Raw genomic sequence first — 22257 nt, 5'->3', positions numbered from 1 at the left:
TTGCTGTGGGTCCTTCAGTGACCCCGCTGAGCTTCCACTTGCTCATCTGTAAAATGAGGATAATAACAACTACCTCTCAGGTTGTAATGAAATAATGTATGTAAACCATATTTGACATAGTAAGTGCTTAGTAAATATTCTCTAGTTATTTACTAGAGGGTTCTCTGTGAAATGTTTGGTGAAATGAACTAAACAGAGGCCAGAGCAGAAGGAGATGAGACCAAGGTTGACAAGCTTGGGAAATAACCACAATGGGCAAAGCTCAGTGCCTGCTATGTATGCATCAGATGCGTTTGCAACCCTTAAGGAAGGAAGCTGTCTAGTAAACAAATAGTTAAGGATATGTTTTGACTGCTGCAATAAATTGCCAAGCTCTCAAAGATGACAGGGCCTGCCATCTTCATTAGTTCTGCCAGAGTGAGTGAAGAAGGAGTCAGAGAAGGGACAACTTTTGCACTGAGTCCAAGGGATAAGGAGTGAAAGGGCATTCAAGGTGAAGGAACCAGCATAGTCTAAGTCCTATGTTGGGAAAGAACAGCTTGTCTGGAAGTGATAAATAGTTCATCATATCTGGAAGAGTAAGACAGGAGATGGAACAGAGCTGGGTGGACACCACACTGTGAGGAATGCTCTTTAGCCTACAGAAAGAAGGATTCCTGGGGACAAAGGAGTTTTTTTAATTTATATATTTATTTATTTGCTCTGTCGCCCAGACTGGAGTGCAGTGGCACGATCTCGGCTCACTGCAACCTCTGCCTCCCAGGTTCAAGCAATTATCCTGCCTCAGCCTCCCGAGTAGCTGGGATTACAGGTGTGCGCCACTGCACCTGGCTAATTTTTTGTATTTTTAGTAGAGACAGGGTTTCACCATGTTGGCCAGGCTGGTTTTGAACTCCTGACCTCAGGTGATCCGCCCACCTCGACCTCCTAAAGTGCTAGGATTATAGGCTTGAGCCACTGCGCCCGGCCCAAAGGAGATTTTTTACCAACTACAAGTCTGGGGCAGGAAATATGCAAGATGAGCCTGCCTGGACATTTTGTCATGCCAGAAAGTGAAAAGGCTATTCAAGACCACTGTTGTGACAAAAGCACTCGGGCCAACTTAAAGGGGCTCACAGTGGCCAAAGGTGGAAGAATATGAGCAAAAAGAATAATGATTGCAACGGGATGAAACATCAACTAAATAAAAATCCATAAATTAAATGCATACGTTCCTAAAGTTACACACACACACAAAAACCCACTAAAACAAAAACCCGCCTTATTGGTCATATGTGGAGTTTACCACAGTACCAATTCATTATTCTGAAAATTGATAAAGGGAAAGAATTAAGTCTGTATCCTATCCTTGTTGTACAAACTATCTCATAGTAACAAAGACTTCACGAAGGAAAAATGTGTATAGAAGAATTAGCTAGACCAGGTGCAGTGGCTCACACCTGTAATCTCAACACTGGGAGGCCAAGGCAACTGGATCCCTTGGGCCCAGGAGTTTGAAACCAGCCTGGGCAACATAGTGATAACCCATCTCTATGAAGGAAAAAATAAATGAATAATTAGCGAATAAATGCAGAAGGGGGCCGGGCGCAGTGGCTCATGCCTGTAATCCCACCACTTTGGGAGGTGAAGGCAGGTGAATTGCTTGAGTCCAGGAGTTTTGAGACCAGCCTGAGCAACATAGTGAAACCCCGTCTTTACAAAAAATACAAAAATTAGCTGGGCATGGTGGTGTGTGCCTGTAGTCCCAGCTACTCAGGAGGCTGAAGTGGAAGGATCACATGAGCCTGGAAGGTGGAGGTTGCAGTGAGCCAAGATCATGCCATTGCACTCCAGCCTGGGTGACAGATCAAGGCCCTGTCTCAAAAAATAATAATAAAAATAATAAATGCAGAAGGAATTATAGAATTAGAAAAAAATTATATTTGCCAACTCCTAATGAAATACTGTAATGGATCAAATAATCACCAATAGTTAACTAAGTGATGGGGTTGATGGGGAACGTCTGAAAGGATCAGGCTGACATCAGCTGATTCTACCTGTTGATCTTAGCATCACAAAAAGTGCAACAGGATATAATGTGCCTCCCCCCATGTGACCAAACAGGAAAAACAGCACCACCTATGATTATTTTTATACCACCTCCCTCCATTCAAAAAAACTAAATCTGTTTAGTTTTTAGTTTGAACAGTACTTTTAAAATGCAGGAGACAGAGGAACATGCTAAATGGCAGAAGGAGTCAGTCAGTCAAATCCAAAAATAGAAAAATCTACATCCTAACGACAAGTTTTATTCAATAAATGCATGGCCTAGGAAAAGGAGGTGAATTGGAAAATGTTATAAAGTTTCGAAAGATGTATCAACCAGATACAGTGTGTGTGAACTTTATTTTAATCCTGATTCAAACAAACCATTAAAAAAATACTGCTGGGCACGGTGGCTCACGCCTGTAATCCCAGCACTTTGGGAGGCTGAGGTAGGTGGATCACCTGAGGTCAGGAGTTCGAGACCAGCCTGGTCAACATGGCAAAACCTTGTCTCCACTAAAAATACAAAAATTAGCCAAGCGTGGTGGCAGACGCCTGTAATCCCAGCCACTAGGGAGGCTGAGGCAGGAGAATCACTTGAACCCAGGAGGTGGACGTTGCAGTGAGCTAAGATCGCACCACTGCACTCCAGCCTGGGCAATAAGAGTGAAACTTCATCTCAAAAAAAAAAAAAAAAAAAAAGTCCGGGCACATTGGCTCACACCTGTAACCCCAGCACTTTGGGAGGCCAAGGCGGGTGGAATCACCTGAGGTTGGGAGTTCGAGACCAGCCTGACCAACATGGAGAAATCCCATCTCTACTAAAAATATAAAAAATTAGCCGGGCATAGTGGCGCATGCCTGTAATTCCAGCTACTGGGGAGGCCAAAGCAGGAGAATCGCTTGAACCCGGGAGGTGGAGGTTGCGGTCAGCCGAGATCGTGCCATTGCACTCCAGCCTAGGCAACAAAAGTGAAACTCCATCTCAAAAATAATAATAATAAATAATACATCTTGGGGACAATTGGGGAATATGGAACACAGATCATGTTTTAGGAAACACTGATCTGTGGACTAAATGTTGTCCCCCGAAAATCCGTATGTTGAAGCCCTAACCCCCAGTGTGACTGTATTTGGAATAAGGAAGTTAATTAAGGTTAAATGAGGTTATGGAGTAGGGCCCTAATCCAATAGGATTCCTTATAAAAAGAAACACCATTGTTTCCTGTTATTTCAGTGTTAAAATAAAAAGAGGTCAGGCGCGGTGGCTCACACCTGTAATCCCAGCACTTTGGGAGGCTGAGGCAAGCAGATCACTTGAGGTCAGGACTTTGAGATCAGCCTGGCCGACATGGTGAAACCCCATCTCTACTAAAATACAAAAATTAACCTGGCGTGGTGGTGCATGCCTGTAATGCCAGCTACTCGGGAGGCTGAGGCAGGAGAATCGCTTGAACTTGGGAGGCGGAAGTTGCAGTGAGCTATCATGCCATTGCACTCCAGCCTGGGCAACAGAGAGAGACTCCTTCTCAAAAAAAAAAAAAAAAAAAAAAAAGGCTGGGCGCGGTGGCTCACGCCTGTAATCCCAAGACTTTGGGAGGCCAAGGCGGGCGGATCATGAGGTCAGGAGATCAAGACCATCCTGGCTAACACGGTGAAACCCTGTCTCTACTAAAAATACAAAAAACTAGCCAGGCATGGTGGCAGGCGCCTGTAGTCCCAGCTACTCGGGAGGCTGAGGCAGAAGAATGGCATGAACCTGGGAGGCGGAGCTTGCAGTGAGCCAAGATCGCTCCACTGCACTCCAGCCTGAGTCACAGAGTGAGACTCCATGTCAAAAAAAAAAAAGGCCTGGCATGGTGGCTCACGCCTGTAATCTCAGCACTTTGGGAGGCTGAGGTGGGTGGATCACCTGAGATCAGGAGTTTGAGACCAGCCTGGCCAACGAGACGAAACCCCGTCTCTACCAAAAATACAAAAATTATCCGGGCCTGGTGGCATTCGCCTGTAGTCCCAGATACTCAGGCGGCTGAGGCAGGAGAATTGTTTGAACCTGGGAGGTGGAGGTTGCAGTGATCTGAGATCACGCCACTGCACTCCAGCCTGGGAGACAGAGCGAAACTCCATCTCAAAAAGAAAAAAAAAGAAAGAAAGAAAAGAAGAAACACCAGAGAGCTTGCTTTCTCTCTTCATCCCCAAGTGAGGACACAGCAAGAAGGCAGCCATCTGCAAGCCAGGAATAGAGACCTCGCCAGAAACTAAACAGGCTAGGCCCTTGATCTTGGACTTCTGACCTCCAGAACTGCAAGAAATAAATTTCTCAATCTCTGTCAGTCAGTCTAGAGTATACCATAATAGTCTCCCAGTCTATGTACCGTCACATACACATGACATTTCAGTCAACCACAGACCAAATATTCGACAGTGGTCTCATAAGATTATAATACTGTATTTTTACTGCACCTTTTCCATCTATAGATATGTTTAGATACACAAATGCCTACCTTTGTATTACATTTGCCTACAGTATTCATTACAGTAACATTCCGTACAGGTTTGTAGCCTAGGAGCAATAGGTTACATCATATACCTTAGGAGTGTAGTAGTCTATCCCATGTAGGTTTGTGTAAGTGCAACATGTCCTCAAATCACATCATTTTGTTTAACATCCTTTTGTTATAGTGTTGATGAGAACCCGGGCGTGGTGGCTCACGTCTGTAATCCCAAGCACTTTGGGAGGCCAAGGTGGGCAGATCACCTAAGGTCACGAGTTCAAGAACAGCCTGGCCAACATGGTGAAATCCACTCTCTACTAAAAATACAAAACTTAGCCAGGCGTGGTGGCATGTACTGGTAATCACAGCTACTTGGGAGGCTGAGACAAGAGAATCGCTTTAACCTGGAAGGCAGAGGTTGCAGTGAGCTGAGACCACACCCCTGCACTCCAGCCTTGGTGATAGAGTGAGACTCTGTCTCAAAAAATAATAGTAATATTAATAATAATGTTGATGAGAAAATCAATTCCCAGCAGGGAGCCAATATCTGTGTGGAGTTTGCATGTTCTCCCCAGGTCTGTGTGGGTTTTCTCCAGGTAATCTGGTTTCTTCCCACATCCCAAAGACATGTGTATTAGGTTCATTGGTGTGTCTAAATGGTCCCGGTCTGAGTGAATGTGAATATGTGTGCTCTGCCATGGAATGGCATCTTGTCCAGGGTTGGCTTCTGCCTTGTGCCCTGAGCTGCTGCGATAGGCTCCGGCCACTCACAAACCTCAACTGGAATAAGCGGGTAAATAATTACCTTACTTGTTTTTTATTCATGTTTCTTAAGCATATATATAGTTCACATTTATTTCAATATTTAATATTAGAAATGTTTTGGATCTTTATTTAGAAGTTTGGTGCTGTTTTGTGGCAAGAAATAAGCAATAAGAACTTAGCTCTTGTTTATATCAATTAGCCTATGGCAAAATTGGTTTTATGATACATTGTTTTGTTTAAAGATGAAGTTTCCGGGCCAGGCCAACATGGTAAACAGCCTGGCCAACATGGTGAAACCCTGTCTCTACTAAAAATACAAAACTTAGCCAGGTATGGTGGCGCACACCTGTAGTCCCAGCTACTTGGGAGACTGAGGTGAGAGGATCACTTGAATGCGGGAGGTAGGGGTTGCAGTGAGCTGAGGTCCCACCACTGCACTCCAGCCTGGGTGACAGAGCAAGACTCGGTCTCAAAAACAAACAAACAACAAGGAAAAACAGAAAATTAGTGGCCGGGCGAGGTGGCTCACACCTGTAATCCCTGCACTTTGAGAGGCTGAGGCAGGTAGATCACCTGAGATCAGGAGTTTGAGACCAGCCTGGCCAACATGATGAAACCCCATCTCTAGTAAAAATACAAAAAATTAGCTGCATGTGGTGGTGCGCGCCTGTAATCCCAGCTACTCAGGAGGCTAAGGAGAGAGAATCACTTGAACCCCGGAGGTGGAGGTTGTAGTGAGCCAAGATCGTGCCACTGCATTCCAGCCTGGGCAACAAGAGCGAAACTCCATCTCAAAAAAAAAAAAAAAAAGAAAAGAAAAGGAAAGAAAAGAAAAAAAGAAAATTACTATAAAATGCTTCTGTTTTACAAATGTTAGGCCTTTTGTATACATCACTTCCCACCCTTAAAACAACCCTGTAAGATTGGTTTCATAATCCCTATGTTTATGCAAGAAGAAATCAAGGCTCACAAAGCTAAAGACGCCTGCCCAGACACACACACACACACACGCGCACGCGCAAATGGGGAGCCAAGATTCAAACAGAAGGTTCTCTAGTCCGAAAACCTGCTCACCTGTGCAGTAAAAGAATATAAACCTGAGCCTCCAACCCCAAGGTGCCTGCCCACCCAAAACAAACCCTGCCAGACTGTCCCTGAGAGGCTCAGGAGAAGGAAACGCTAAAAGATGGCAAGGAGCAAAGTCCCCTTGGGCTGGAAGGCTCTGGAGTAGCTGGTCATCCTTGTTTTGCAGAACTGCTTACAAGCCATCACTTCCACCTGAGGTTAGCCTTGTGAGATAGCAAATATCACTGTCCCCCTCTGCCCGAGTCCAAGGTCACATCACTGACTGGATAAAAACCCAGGTCTCCCAGCTGCCATCTGGTCTTCATTCCAAAATCCAGACAGAGTCTCTTATGAGCTTGTGGCCACAGATACAAAAGTAGATGCTGATGTGTGTCTCATTTTATTCAGGAAAGGTCTGGAGTGGCTTGAGCCATACCCTGCTTCAGAACTGAACCCAAGTGGGAGTGAGGGCAGCATGCAGCTAAAGGCACAAGTCTGGAAGTTTCAAATCCCAGGTCTGTCACTTTCTGGCTATAGGCTGGAAAAAATCCTTTAAATTTTTTTTTTTTTTTTTTTTTTTTTTTTGAGACGGAGTCTTGCTCTGTCACCAGGCTGGAGTGCAGTGGCGTGATCTCAGCTCACTGAAACCTCTGCCTGCCAGGTTCAGGCAATCCTCCTGCCTCAGCCTTCTGAGTAGCTGGGACTACAGGTGCCCGCCACCATACCCAGCTAATTTTTTTGTATTTTTAGTAGAGATGGGGTTTCACCATGTTGGCCAGGATGGTCTTGATCTCTTGACTTCGTGAAGTGCCTGCCTCGGCCTCCAAAAGTGCTAGGATTACAGGCATGAGCCACCGCACCCAGCCTAATTTAACTTTATTTATTTATTTATTTATTTAAGACAAAGTCTCACTCTGTCACCCAGGCTGGAGTGCAGTGGCGTGATCTGGGCTCACTGCAACCGCCACCTCCCAGGTTCAAGAGATTCTCCTGCCTCAGCCTCCTGAGTAGCTGGGAGTACAGGTACGTGCCACTACGCCCGGCTAATTTTTTGTATTTTTAGTAGAGACGGGGTTTCACCACGTTAGCCAGGATGGTCTCGATCTCCTGACCTCGTGATCTGCCTGCCTCGGCCTCTCAAAGTGCTGGGATTATAGGCGTGAGCCACCACATCTGACCCTGTTCTAACACTTTGGAGTGATCACAAACTCACATGCCTTCAGGTACCAGGGAGATTAAATGCACTTGGATTTAGGAAGATGGCAGTGGTGGGAGCTTCAGCTAACTGCAGCTTGCATACTACATCCAAAGTACTTAAATTCATCACTATGAGAAGCATAGTGTTTGATCAAATCAACGCCCCACTATTGGCCCCAGGAGGACTAGTAATTAGTGACCTCTGCTTAGAGTGATAGTGACAGGTTTTATTTGAAAACCTTTCAGAGGAGTCAGTGATTCCTTAGTAAAGTATACAGAATCTCCAAAGCAATGTGGAGTCAGGGGGACTGCCATAGAAATTACCTGAGAGCTCCAGAGAATATGGTTGGTTCCGCATAATGCAATTTTTACAAAGAAAAGTTATCCATCCAAGCCTCTCTTTTCCTAACATGTCCAGCCCCTGCCTGGTGGAAGCTCCCTATCTGATGGGAGACGGACAGAGTCTAGTCTAGGAAGGCAGAGCTCATGTCAGGGCAGGCCCCGAAGGGTCTGAGCTGACTTTCCTCAGGTAGAAATGAGGGTAAGTCTATATTCCTTGCAGGGTGAACAGTAGAATCAAAAGTTCTGAGGTGGGCCAGGCATAGCAGTGCACACCTGTATTCCCAGCATTTTGGGAGGCCCAGGCAGGAGGATTTCTTAAGGCCAGGAGCTCAAGACCAGCCTGGGCAACACAACGAGACCCTCGTCTCTACAAGAAGTAAAAAAATTAGTGGGGCTTGGTGGCACATGCCTATAGTCCTAGCTACTTGGGAGGCTGAGGTGGGAGGGTCACTTGAGGCCAGGAGTTCGAGTCTGTGGTAAGCTATGATCACGCCAGTGTACTCCAGCCTGGGCGATGGAAGGAAGGGGAGGGGATTGGAGGGGATGAGGGAGGGATGGGGTTAAAGGAAGGAGAGAAGAAAGAATGGAAGAAAGGAAGAACAAAAGCAAGAAAGGAAGGAAGAGAGGGAGGGAGGAAGGGAGGAAGAAAGTTAGTTCCAAGGTGGAAAATCAAGAGGCCTGTTTGGAGAAATGAGAGAAATCATGGGATCTGGCTTATGGGAAGAAGTATGGGAAATCAGGTTGGAAAGGCAGGTTCCAGGGGATCAGGCCCTCCCAGCCCTCTAATATGACAAAGCTAAGGATTCTTTGGTGACCAAAATTCTTCCTGGTGACCATTTCATTCTTGTGGAGCAAGTGCACTCAGTCCCCGAGAAGTACCTGGGGAGGGCTTGGTTGGAGCCCCAGTGACCAACCATTGCTCCCCACCAGGTTCCCAACAGGCACATGCTGGCTTGGGGTGCTCCAAGGCCCCCTGGAGGATATGGATCTGTCTCAGCCCAATTTCTTTCTCCTAAAGGATTAACTGAATATGAGGGAAGAGAGTAGATCACCAATCCTCAGAAAAGGCATTTAAGGGCCAAGCACGGTGGCACATGCCTATAATCCCAGCACTTTGGGAGGCCGAGGCAGGTGGATCACCTGAGGTCAGGAGTTCAAGACCAGCCTGCCAACATGGTGAAACCCCATCTCTACTAAAAATACAAAAACAAAACAAAACAAAACAAAAAATTAGCCAGGCGTGGTGGTGGGTGCCTGTAATCCCAGCTACCCAGGAGGCTGAGGCAGGAGAATCGCTTGAACCTGGGAGTGGGAGGTTGCAGTAAGCCAAGATCGTGCCATTGCAGTACAGCCTGGGCAACAAGAGCGAAACTTCGTCTCAAAAAAAAAAAAAAAAAAAAGGTGGGGGATATATGTTACCCAGGGTCTCAGAGCAAACTGAGGAGTCATAGAAGCCGAACTCCCACCTCTAGATTATTATTCCGAGGCCCACTCCCCAGCACCAGGCTGCCTCTTGAATTGTATGTGTCAACTCCAAGTACAGCACAATTACAGTTGCCGACACAACCCCCTTCCCATTCACCCGTGAGACGACAGGTCTTGGGCTAGGTTCTTGTCAAGCTCACTGGGTTCTCAGAGCAAGCCTATGAAGTAGGTACTACAATTATTCCCAGTTTCCAGATGAGGAAGGTGAAGCTCCGAGGGGCAAAATGACTTTCTTGTGCAAGGCAGAGCTGAGATTCCAAATAGAGCCATCTGACTTCAGAGGCCATGCACATCAGATAAAGGAAGCCTCACTGCAGCAGGGAGGGACACACACAGCCTTCCAGTCCTGTGGACAGCATTTCCAGAGGCCAAAGAATTGCACAGAGAAAAGACTGCGTAAACCAGGTTCTCCCCATAAAGCCCAAAGGAGGCATCCTGCATTCAGCCAGAGGCATCAGACTCCAGCAGCCAGCGGTTTCACCTGATTGCTTTTCTTCCTACTCTGCCACCCCTGAGACTATTCAAATACAATCTCCATGGAAGCAGAGGATTTGAGTCAGTTTTGTTCACTGATGATTTCTAGCACCTACAAGAGTGCCTGGTACATATGAGGAGCTATTAATAAATAAACACATGCTGGATAAAGTGGAAGATGAGTGTTTTTTAACCATAGGGAGATTTATTTTATTTTATTTTGAGATAGGGTTTTGCTCTCACCAGGTTGAAGTGCAGTGGTTCAATCTTGGCTCACTGCAGCCTTGACCTCCTGGGCTCAAGAGATCCTCCCACCTCAGCTTCCCAAGTAGCTGGGAGTAAAGGCACATGCCACCACATCAGGGTGATTTTTCATTTTATTTTTTGTAGAGACAGGGTCTCGCTATATTGCCCAGGCTAGTCCCAAACTACTAGCCTCAAGTGATCCTCCCACCTGGACCTCCCAAAGTGCTGGGATTACTGGCATGAAACACTGTGCCTGGCCAAGCTCCTGTACAGGGGAACTTCCATTAGCTGGGAGACCCAACTTGACCCAGTGGGGAGGTGCATTTGAATGACAGTGGCTTGGGGCAGAAGCTTTGAAAATGCTGCTGGATGAGCAGACTGGATAAGGAATACCACTGGGAGTCACTTTGTAAAGTGATAAACACATTAGTCAAGTAAAACTCTCCCTGAGTGATCATTTTTGATAAGCCTGGATTTTCTGGCTTTGCTCAGAGCAGGATTTGTTCCTTTCCACTCAGCAGATGTTTGTGAAGCATTATGTGTGCAAAGCTCTGTTGCCACATCTCAGGATCTGAGAAATGGAAGGAAGTGCAGAAACCACCCACCAGCCCCACTGTCCCTGAAGAGCAAGTGGGAGAGCTGAAGCCCAGAGAGACATTACTGGGGGAGACAGGAGGTCCCAGTCCAAGGCCTGCCCCTGGCTCTGTCCCTCATAGGCCTGCAAACTTTCAAAGTCAGCTGCTGGACCAGGCCCAGAATTCTAATAGCCAGAGTAACACTTCCTAATTTAACAAAGGGCTAGGCTGGAAAGTGTTCCTGTTTCTTGTTCCTGCTAGGGGTCCCCAAGAATTAAATGACTTTGCTGGCCAGGCACGTGGCTCACACCTGTAATCCCAGCAGTTTGGGAGGTCAAGATGGGAGGATCACCTGAGGTCAGGAATTTGAGACCAGTCTGGCCAACGTGGCGAAACCCCATCTCTACTAAAAATATAAAAATTAGTGAGGTGTGGTGGCACATGCCTGTAATCCTAGCTACTCAGGAAGCTGAGGCACGAAAATCATTTGAACCTGGGAGGCAGGGGTTGCAGTGAGCTGAGATTGTACCACTGCACTCCAGCCTGGGCAACAGAGCAAGACTCCTGACTCAAAGAGAAAAAAAAAAAAACACTGAGTGACTACCCCATTTACTAGGCATTGTGATTGCAGGGATGAGTAAGTCAGCATCGCTGCCATCAAGACATTTATAACCAGACCAGGTGGCACAGCGGCTCACGCCTGTAATCGCAGCACTTCAAGAAGCCAAGGTGGGTGGATCACCTGAGGTCAGGAGTTTAAGACCAGCCTGGCCAACATAATAAAACCTCATCTCGGCTGGGTGCGGTGGCTCACACCTGTAATCCCAGCAGTTTGGGAGGCCAAAGTGGGCAGATCACGAGGTCAAGAGATTGAGACCATCCTGGCCAACATGGTGAAACCCTGTCTCTACTAAAAATACAAAAGTTAGCTGGGTGTGGTGGCACGTGCCTGTAGTCCCAGCTGTTCGGGAGGCTGAGGCAGGAGAATTGCTTGAACCTGGGAGGTGGAGGTTGCAGTGAGCACCACTGCATTCCAGCCTGGCGACAGAGCAAGACTCTGTCAAAAAAAAAAAAAAAAGATATTTACAACCTGATTGGAGCGACAGTGTGCAAACAAATGATGTTGTGCACTAAGCACTCTGTGTGAAGACGGGTGTGGGGACTCAGAAGCACAGGAAAGAATGGCCTTTTCTACTGGGGCCAGCTGTTGGCATCAAAGAAGAAAAGAGGCCTGAACTGAATCTTGGAGGATCCTTGGTCCCTGCCTTCAAACAGTGTTGGGAGAAAAGCTGAGTGTTGGGAGAGAAGCTGAGGCAGGGGTTGCATGTCTGCTAGAATTGCTGGCTCCTTGCTTCTAGCACTCCCATTATCTCAAGCAGCTATATGTTTCTCATTCACTTGATACACTGTTTCCTTTCAACTCCCACATCCTCACCAACTGTTTCTTTGTTTGAGCATCAATAAATAGCATGGGCTTCCAGAGCTCCAGGGCCTTTGCAGCTTCCACACTCGCCATGACCCCTGGTCCCACTTTCTCTCTCAAACTTTTTTTTCATTCCTTTGACTCCACCAGACTTCGTCGTCCCCACAACCTGGTGTTGGGTCTGATCACCCCAACATTCCTGGCTGCCCAACGTGGGGCGACAAAGACCCCGGTGAAGGAACACTAGAGCATGTGAAAGCGGAGGACACATTGTCACAGGACACCCAAGAACGTCGAACGTCTAAAAGAAGCTCGGCAGGAAAGCTGAGCACTGGGAAGAACCAGGGTAACAATGGGACAAAGTGAAAGCAGACATTCTGCTTATTTAGATTTCTTAAAGCATTTATTACAAAGAGGGGGGCATGAAAGTTAGTACTCACAATTTGTTAATCACTCTTTAGTACAGTAAAGCAGTTTTGCCCATGGTTTCCTGAACAAGGGACTATGGAGTTGAATAAATGGGAGAGAACTGGGGGAGACTTTAAAAAGGCATATAAAGAGGGAGCAGAAGTTCTAGTTTCCGTTTGGTCAATGTGGGTGCTAATAAAGGCAGCTCTTAAGCCATTTCAAACAGATCATGAGGCAGATTCAGATGAGGAAGAGGAGGACAAGTGTAAAAAACTAACTTCAGATTCTGAGTGTGAGGAACAGCTACCGGAGGAGATGAAAGAAAGGAAAACTGAAAAAAGTATGTTTTACTAGCCTGTCGGCTCCACCTGCTGAATTAAGTGAATGGCCACCTCCTCTCTCTCCCTTTAATGGGCAAGAAAATAAATTAGCCGAAAAACTTACTGCTTCTGTAGTTGCAACATTAAAACTGGAGCAATTGGTGGTGCTATACAAAATTCTATTCAAAAAGCTAGAGCTGAGGGAGACCTTGAAGCATGGCAATTTCCCGTTACTATAATCCAGTAGGGAGGCAGGGCTAATATAGCTAATTGGGCTACTTTTCCTTTTAAGTTACTAAAGGAATTGAAGGACGCCATTAGTCAATACGGACCGAACCCTCCTTTTGTGCAAACTTTAAAAATATGGCTCTGATAATAAATTAATACCATATGATTGGGATACGTTGACAAAATCTGTTCTCACTCCGTCTCAGTATTTACAGTTTAAAACTTGGTGGACTGATGAAGCTCAAACTCAGGCAAGGGAAAACACACAAGTGCAGCCACCTGTGCCTGTTTCCTTTGAACGGTTAATGGGAGTTGGCCCCAACTGGGGTCGATTAGAAAATCAAGCAGTAATGAAGGATGTTGCCATTGTTTAGCTGCACTTTGTGTGCTTACAGGCATGAGAAAGGATAAATGTTACAAGGGAAAAATATCCCTCTTTCAGTTCTGTCTGACAAGGACCCAAAGAACCATATATTGATATTATTGCTTGACTCCAAGAGGCTGTGTATAAAGCCATAACTGATAAAACAGCACAGGATGTTGTAACACAGCTTCGTGCATACGATACTGCTAATGCAGAGTGTCAAACTGCTATTTGACCCCTGAGAGGGAAGGCTTATTTAGCTGAATATATTAAGGCTTACGATGGCATTGGAGGTAACTTATATAAGGCTACTCTTTTAGATCAGACTATGGCTGGTTTAAGAGTAGGAAACAATATGCCCCATTTCTCAGGATCTTGCTTTAATTGTGGGCAATTTGGACACACAAGAAAGGAATGTAGAAAAGGAAATCAAAAGGCAAAAACTACCATCAATCAACAGAAAAGTCCCGGTGTATGTCCCCGGTGTAAGAAAGGCAATCACTGGGAAAGTCAGTGTCATTATAAATTTAGCAAAGATGGACAACCTCTTTCGGGAAATGGGAAGAGGGGCCCGCCTCGAGCCCCTCAACAAACCAAGGCATACCCGGCACAGCCAGTACCCTTACAAACGTACAACAGTTGTCCCCCGCCTCAGCAGGCAGTGCTGCCATAGATGTCTACAGCACAATTCCCATCTCCTTACTTCCTGGGGAGCCACCAAAGGTCCCCACGGGAGTTAGGGGACCCTTACCCTCAGGAACAGTAGGTCTATTATTTGAAAGGTCTAGTCTGAATTTAAAAGGTGTTACTGTACATATGGGAATAATCGACTCTGATTATACTGGAGAAATTAAATTAGTTATTAGTTCCTCGACTCCGTGGTCTGCCTCCCCAGGAAAAATGATTGCTCAATTGTTGCTGTTACCTTACATAAAACTAGGAAGAGTACAGTGAAAAGAACAGGAGGCTTTGGTAATACTAATCCAGCAGGAAAGGCTGTGTATTGGGTTAATCAAGTGTCTGACAAAAGACCTATTTGCACAGTAACTATTCAGGGAAAAGATTTTGAAGGACTAGTAGATAACTGGAGCTGATGTCTCTATTATTGCTATAAATCAATGGCCCCAGCACTGGCCTAAGCAAAAGGCATCCATTGGTATTGCTGGAGTAGGAGCTGCCTCAGAAGTTTTTCAAAGTTCTTTGATTTTACCATGTCAAGGGCCAGATGGTCAGGAAGGGACATTTCAGCCTATCATTTACACCTATTCCTGTCAATTTATGGGGTAGAGACTTATTGCAACAATGGGATGCTGAAATATCTATTCCTATGGATCAATATAGTAATAATAGAGGACAAATGATGAGAAATATGGGATGTTGCCCAGGAAAAGGACTAGGAAAAGATAAAAATGGCCAACCAGAACCTTTAGAATTAAAAAGGCAAACAGATTGGACCGGATTGGGGTGTCATTTTTAGGAGCGGCCATTGTTGAGGCTCCGGCTCCCATTCCTCTTGTTTGGCTAACGGCCAAACTGGTTTGGGTGGAGCAATGGCCACTGAAACAGGAAAAACTGGAGGCTTTAAAAGAACTGGTGCAGGAACATTTGCAAAAGGGACATATAGAGCCTACTTTCTCCCCTTGGAATTATCCTGTATTTGTCATTAAGAAAAAATCAGGGAAATGGAGAATGTTAACAGATTTAAGGGCTGTTAATGCTGTGATTCAACCCATGACTGCAGCTGAACAACACCTGACAAGACAAAAGGCAAATAAAAAGGTTGGACAAGATATGTGGTGGAGGGATGCACAAAGCGCTGGGAAAAGGAAAGATAATTTTATGGGGAAGAGGATTTGCTTGTGTCTCTCCAGGTGACAATCAGGTGCCTGTGTGGGTGCCCACCAAACATCTGAAGATCTATCATGAACCACAGCATCTAGTGGACCCACCTGTACAGTGCAAATTGAAGGTTTAAGGATTGCTTTTAAGTCTGGATTTGCTTCGTCTGTGCCTTCTGTTGTAAGGGGCTTGCTTCTCCTTATCAATGGTAAGTTCCACCACGTGGTAATTAACCAAAGAGGCCGAAGCTGAGTTACAAATGCTTCCGCAATGGCATGCCTCGAGGCTACAGCCACAGAAGTTTTTGCTTCTGTTTCAGTAGATTTACTAACGTGGGGGTGAGGGTATGCTTGTGTTTTTGCAGGAGATGAACAAACCGTGTAGGTGCCCTCAAGATGTGTACAACCATGGACTGGGTTCCCCCAGTACGAGCCTTGCTGAGAAACTGCTGGAGTGCCAAGGTTTTACCTGTAGATGCTTAATGGACCAATGCTTTCTGACTGAACTCCTCTCTACCCTGAATACAAGAGACCCTAATAGGTAGGCAGGAGTATCATTGCCCCTATTCAGCATGAAGAAGTTACAGAAGACGGACCTTCATCCTTCTGCAACCCCTAGGATTAAGGGTCCTCTTGTAAAAGAGAAAGGGGAGATACGTAGGAAGCATTCAAACCAGGGCGACTCCATTTTGAATAAGGGCTAAGAAAAATGAAGCTGGATCACCAACCGGCAATTAAGCGCTACACAGCCTGCAATTGCCTTGCTCAATTTTAAAAAGAGGCCACCTTATGCTAGTAATAATGATAGCTGTGGCGGTTTTTACAAAAAAGAGAAGGGGGAGGCATGTTGGGAGAAGCACTGAGTGTTGGGAGAGCAGGTGAGGCAGGGCTTGCATGTCTGCTAGACTTGCCAGCCCCTTGCTTCTGGCACTCCCATTATCTCAAGCAGCCATATGTTTCTCATTCACTCGATACACTGTTTCAACCCCCACATCCTCACCACCTGTTTCTTTGTTTGAGCACCAATAAATAGCGCGTGCTCCCAGAGCTCGGGGCCTTCGCAGCCTCCACACTCGCCATGACCCTCTGTTCCCACTTTCTCTTTCAAACTGTTTTTTTCTCATTCCTTTGACTCCGCCAGACTTTGTCGCCCCCAGGACCTGGTGTTGGGTCTGATCACCCCAATAAAAGAGTGTACAATCTAATCAGGAGCCAGGACAGATACTCAAACAGCTACTATGCAAGGCAGAATGAAACCACAAGTAATCCAAGTTCAGAGGGGAGAGGAAACGTTCCCATATGACATGGGTGGGTTATGGGCAGAGGTGGGCAGGAGACAGGAGGAGGTCAGAAAATGCTGTGTAGGAGGCCGGGCATGGTGGCTCACGCCTGTATTCCCACCACTTTGGGAGGCCCAGACAGGTGGATCACTTGAGGTCAGGTGTTTGAGACCAGCCTTGCCAACATGGTAAAATCCCGTCTCTATTAAAAATATAAAAATTAGCCAGGTGTGGTGACACATGCCTGTAATCCCAGCTACTAGGGAGGCTGAGTCAGGAGAATCTCTAGAACCTGGGAGGTGGAGGTTACAGTGAACCAAGAGTGCACCACTGCACTCCAGCCTGGGCAAGAGTGAGACTCTGTCTCAAAAAAACCAAAGAACAAAAAAAGAAAATGCTGTGTAGGAAATGGCATTGAGACAAACCTTGAAGGATGAAGAGAGAGCTAAAGAGGCATTCCAGATAAATGGTCTTCACAAATAAAAGTACAATGTGGGGACTATCAGGGTGTCGTCTGGAGCAGGCAGAACGGGGAGTGGGGACCACTGGAAGGCCACTGGAAGCCACCATGATGACAGTCACTGGAAATGATGAGTCCTAGGCTGAGCACTTTATATCCTCACGCCAGACCTTGGAGGTAGGTTCCCTTACTACTGCAACATTCTTTCAGATAAGGAAACGGAGGCTCAAGGAGGTGACAAGGCCACACGGCTGACTGGTGGTAGATACAGCACCTAAGCCAGGTCCTTCTGATGCCTCCCCCACACCTCCTTACCACTGGAATGCCAGGCAGTGGCATTACTGGGGCCTTCCCATCTAAGGTACCACTGTCCCGGCACACCTCACCTAGCATGTCACCTCAGACAAGTGGGCACCGAGAGGTCAATCTTCACCTTAACCATGGAAGCTAGCTTGATCCTGCCTTTTTGAGGTAAGCATCCATGGGACTATCAGGACCTCCTTCACCAGAATAGAGGGGACGCATGGGGAAGGAATATGAGGATTGCTGAGGATTTGTTATGCCCTGCTGTCTGCTGGTCTCTGTCTATTGTTTTACAGTCATGTAGCCTGGCTATTTTCTAGTTCTCCTCTGATCACACTAGTGTCATCGTGGCCCTGGGGCAGATCCCTTTGCCAGTACTAGAGTGGCTGGTCTTTCTTGGGAGACTGGAGTTTCAACTATTCCTGGTATACACAAATGTTATCCAAGTACTGGTGGATGTTCATGGATTCCCGTCTCCAGTGCCCCAGCTTTCTGAGCTGGTCTGTCATAAAGTTTTTATCAGGTGGTCTGATCTTCATTAGTGGCTGATCTCCTTATTGCTCTTCTCTAAAGCTCTCTCCACACTATATTCATTCCATAAATACTTTGACTCACAGGGAGTCTATTTATTTGTAAAAAGTGGGCATTAAGCTAGGTAACTCCAAGGCCCAGCGCAGTGGCTCACACCTGTAATCTCAACACTTCGGGAAGCCAAGGAGGGCAGATCACTTGAGGTCAGGAGTTTGAGACCAGCCTGGCCAACATGGTGAAACTCCGTCTCTACTAAAAATACAAAAATTAGCCAGGCGTGGTAGCGCACGCCTGTAGTCCCAGCTACTCGGGAGGCTGAGGCAGGAGAATCACTTGAACCCAGGAGGCAGAGGCTGCAGTGAGTTGAGATCACGCTGCTGCACTCCAACCCGGGTGACAGGGAGACTTTGTCTCAAAAAAAAATAAATAAAAAATAAAAAAATAAAAAAAAGTAAAAGGAAGCTTCTGGACAGCTGAAAGTTGGCACAGCCCTCAGGTATACATAAAGCCAACTCAGGAGCTTCCAGTTAAGAGTAGTTCACAGTTCCTTGCCCCACCTAAGGTGTACGACATTCCCCACCCAGTTGGCCCCGAACCTATCGTGGGCCACTCAGAATACCCCACACCACCTGGCCACAGTGATTAAAACAGGGATGGGCCCATGAACCAACTGGGGCCAACTGGAGTCCTTCCTCAGGATTTGTCTAACTGGAGCAGCAGTGGAAGTACTTCTTGTGGTCTACAGGCCAAGGTTTCCTGTGGCTCTGCTCCCCAGGTTCAGCCAGCCTGATAATGATACTGGTGTTCAGAAAGCCACAAAGGGCTGGGCACGGTGGCATATGCCTGTAATCCCAGCACTTTGGGAAGCAGAGGAGGGCAGATCACTTGAGCCCAGGAGTTTGAGACCAGCCTGGGCAATGTGGTGAAACCTCATCTCTACTAAAAATTCAAAAAATTAGCCAGGCATGGTGGCATATGCCTGTAATCCCAGCTACCTGGGAGGCTGAGGTGGGAGGACTGCTTGAACCCAAGAGGTTGAAGCTACAGTGAGCCTCATGCTACTGGCCTCCAGCCTGGGCAAGAGTGAGACCGTGTCTCAAACAGACGAGACGGGATGGGACGGGACGAGACGAGACACAATATAAAGACAATGAAGACAGAATGGAAGACATACCTGGTGGTAGTACAGCCCCTGGCTTCTCTCCCCTAAAACATTGGCGACTGTGCCCTATCCATCCTTGATTATGTAAACCCAACTTCTCTATTTTGCTTGAACTAGTTCAAGTTCAGTTTATATTACCTGCCACTGAGAGGATCTTAATAGATCCTATTTTTACAAATGAGAAAGCAGAGTCTGGAGGAAGTGTGATTCACCCAAGGTCACACAAAGCTGGCCTGCCCATCTAGTTCCACTACATCCCACCATTGGAAGTTTAGCAGAGGCAGAAATGCCCAGGTCTCTGCTCTGCTTTTGTCTTTGTGACCTTCAAGAGGATCTGGCACCATCTCTTAAGGATCTCCAACTGTTTTTGATGTTAGAATCCTGTGGGCCCATCCAGACTTGACCCTGGAACATGGAGAGAAGTCAACAGAGTCAAGAAGGGGCAGAAGCTCAACCCTGGGCTTCCTGCTCTGTTTGAAAAAATGAGTATGTTATTGGTGTCCATCTTTTTCATGTGTCTCTTCCTAGCACCCAACACAGTAGCTGTCCCAAGCAGGCCCTAAGGACAGGTTTAATGAGTTCATCAATTAGGGTCTATGGGAACAGTAGGTGACAGCACTCAGGCTTTTGAGTAAGCCTGAGTCAAACTCTTACCTGTCCATAAGCAAAAAGTGGGAGAAGAGCCTCAGTTCTCATCTGGAAAATGGGGATAATCCCCAAAGGAAAAAACTGACAAGATGCTGTTAATGCTGATTCAAACTCTAGGACCCAAGACCTTAGTTTTTTGGGGGTTTTATTTATTTATTTTTGCTTGTTTGTTTTTTTGTTTTTGTTTTTTTTTTTGAGACGGAGTCTTGCTCTGTTGCCCAGGCTGGAGTACTATCACAGCTCACTGCAACCTTCACCACCCGGTTCAAGCAATGCTCATGTCTCAGCCTCTCATGTAGCTGGTATTACAGGCACCCACCACCATGCCCAGATCAGTTTTGTATTTTTAGTAGAGACGGGGCTTCGCCACATTGACTAGGCTGATTTCAAACTCCTAACCTCAAGTGACCGTCCTGCCTCCCACAAAGTGCTGGGATTACAGGCATGAGCCACCGCGCCCAGCCTAGAACCCAAGACTTTGTATGGGAGAAAATAAGAATCCATTCATGGGTTCCCTAGAGAGATAATGTGCTTTCAGGAAAAACAAAAACAAAAACAAAACCAAGAGACATGGAGTCTTTCTAGCCTCCTTAGCCTAGGAACAGGTGTGACACCTTGGGCAAGTCAGTAACCCTGAGTGTGAATTGCCTCCTCTGTAAAACGGGGCCTGCCTTAGAGCACCTTGGGGACTTCCTATCACCTTTATGATCCCCCAGGATATAGAGAGAATGAAATGAATATGGGTCAAGCCACTAACACCCTCTAATGCAAAAGCTTGTGGCTACTTTACCTGCACCTCATGGAGTCGTTGTGCTATGAGCTTGTCATAAAAACCCACCCAAGATAAACTGCTCTTTTTATATGAGTAAAAAATTTTTCACTGCTGCTTCACTGGAATCATTAAGCTGGAGCGGGGAGGGAAAGGTGACACAGGTTACAGATGGCTGAGGCCAGGGCCAGAGCAGATTTGACAGGGTCCTGGGGGAGTGGCTGAGGCTTCCCCGGGTATCTTAGGACAAGTGCAGCTCTGTTACAATTTTCAGAGAAGCAAGGGAGTAACCACAGTTTCTTCTTGTGGAAAGATATGCTAAAGGGGTGTTTCATGGACACCCAGAAGAAAAGCAATTCTGTGTTTGTAAAAGGGCCCCAGTGCAGTCCACAAGAGAAGGGTTATCAGGAACTCAGAACCATCTTCCAAAGCAGTCTTTTGTTTTTTTGAGATGGAGTTTCATTCTGTCTCCCAGGCTGGAATGCAGTGGCACAATCTCGGCTCACTGCAACCTCCACCTCCCGGGTTCAAGCGATTCTCCTGCCTCAGCCTCCCGAGCAGCTAGGATTACAGGCATGCGCCACCACACCTGGCTAATTTTTGTATTTTTAGTAGAGACGGGGTTTCACCATGTTGGCCAGGCTAGTCTCGAACTCCTGACCTCAAGAGATATGCCTGCCTTGGGCTCCCAAAGTGGTAGGATTACATGCGTGAGAGCCACCATGCCCACCCAGCCAAAAGCAGTCATCTTGATGATCCTTCTTAAGGATGAAATGGGAGAGAGGGGTCTTAGAGGGGAGGAGTAAAAGTTGTAGAGTAGGGTTCGAAGGATGAATTTGAGAGGTGTTTAGCTTGGGGAGCACTTGCTCTAGACCCTGTGCCTAAAGGGGATCTGGGAGGCGGGGGCTTGGGGGAGTATAGATCAGAGCAGGGAGAAATAAAAGTAAGAGTTTGGACAGATGTTAGGCTGGTTAATAGGGGAATTCCAGAAGAAGGTTTGGGGAAAATTTAGAATAGGGAGGTGTGGGGTGGACAGGGGTTTTAGGAGACTCTGAAAGGTGAGGTGAAACATGGGGTGGGGTGGGGTAGAATGGAGCTAGGTACTCCAGGTGAAAATATAACAATCTGGTCAAAATGAGGAAATGCTGAAGAGTGGATATACTTCTAAGCACTGCATTTTCACTTTTTGATAATTTGGTTACACCATGAAGTAGTCTTACAAATAAATACCTTTAAATGGTTTTGCCCATTTAAAAATAATTCTTCAGGATCAGGCACAGTGGCTGAGGCCTATAATCCCAGCACTTTGGGAGGCCAAGGTGGGCAGATCACTTGAGGTCAGGAGTTCGAGACCAGCCTGGCCAACATGGTGAAACCCCATCTCTACTAAAAATACAAAAATTAGCCGGGTGTAGTGGTGAGCACCTGTAATCCCAGCTAATCAGGAGGCTAAGGCAGGAGAATCACTGGAACCCAGGAGGCAGAGGTTGCAGTGAGCCAAGACTGTGCCACTGCACTCGGGCCTGGGCCACAGAGCTAGACTCTGTCTCAAAAAAAAAATTGTTCATATTTTCTTTCTAAAATGCGGAAACAAAATCTACAGTATGGAAGCAATTGAATAAATTTTGGTATGTCATAAAATAAAATACATGTAATTGTGTATGAAACATAGACGGGTGGTATATTAGATGGGAGAAAAAAGCAGGTTACTAAAAAGTGAACTTTTGTGATGTATCTTTTTTAAGTATAAGCATGTTGTAACATATATATATATATATATATATATATATATGAATGGATTCTGATCAAAATACACCAAAATGTTAACAGTGATTGTCCCTAGCCACTTATGCT

The sequence above is a fragment of the Homo sapiens genome, chromosome 22 (genome assembly GCF_000001405.40).
Source record: "Homo sapiens chromosome 22, GRCh38.p14 Primary Assembly".
Classification (NCBI taxonomy): Eukaryota; Metazoa; Chordata; class Mammalia; order Primates; family Hominidae; genus Homo; species Homo sapiens.
The sequence above is the reverse complement of the archived record's forward strand: the minus strand, read 5'-3'. Positions refer to the sequence as shown.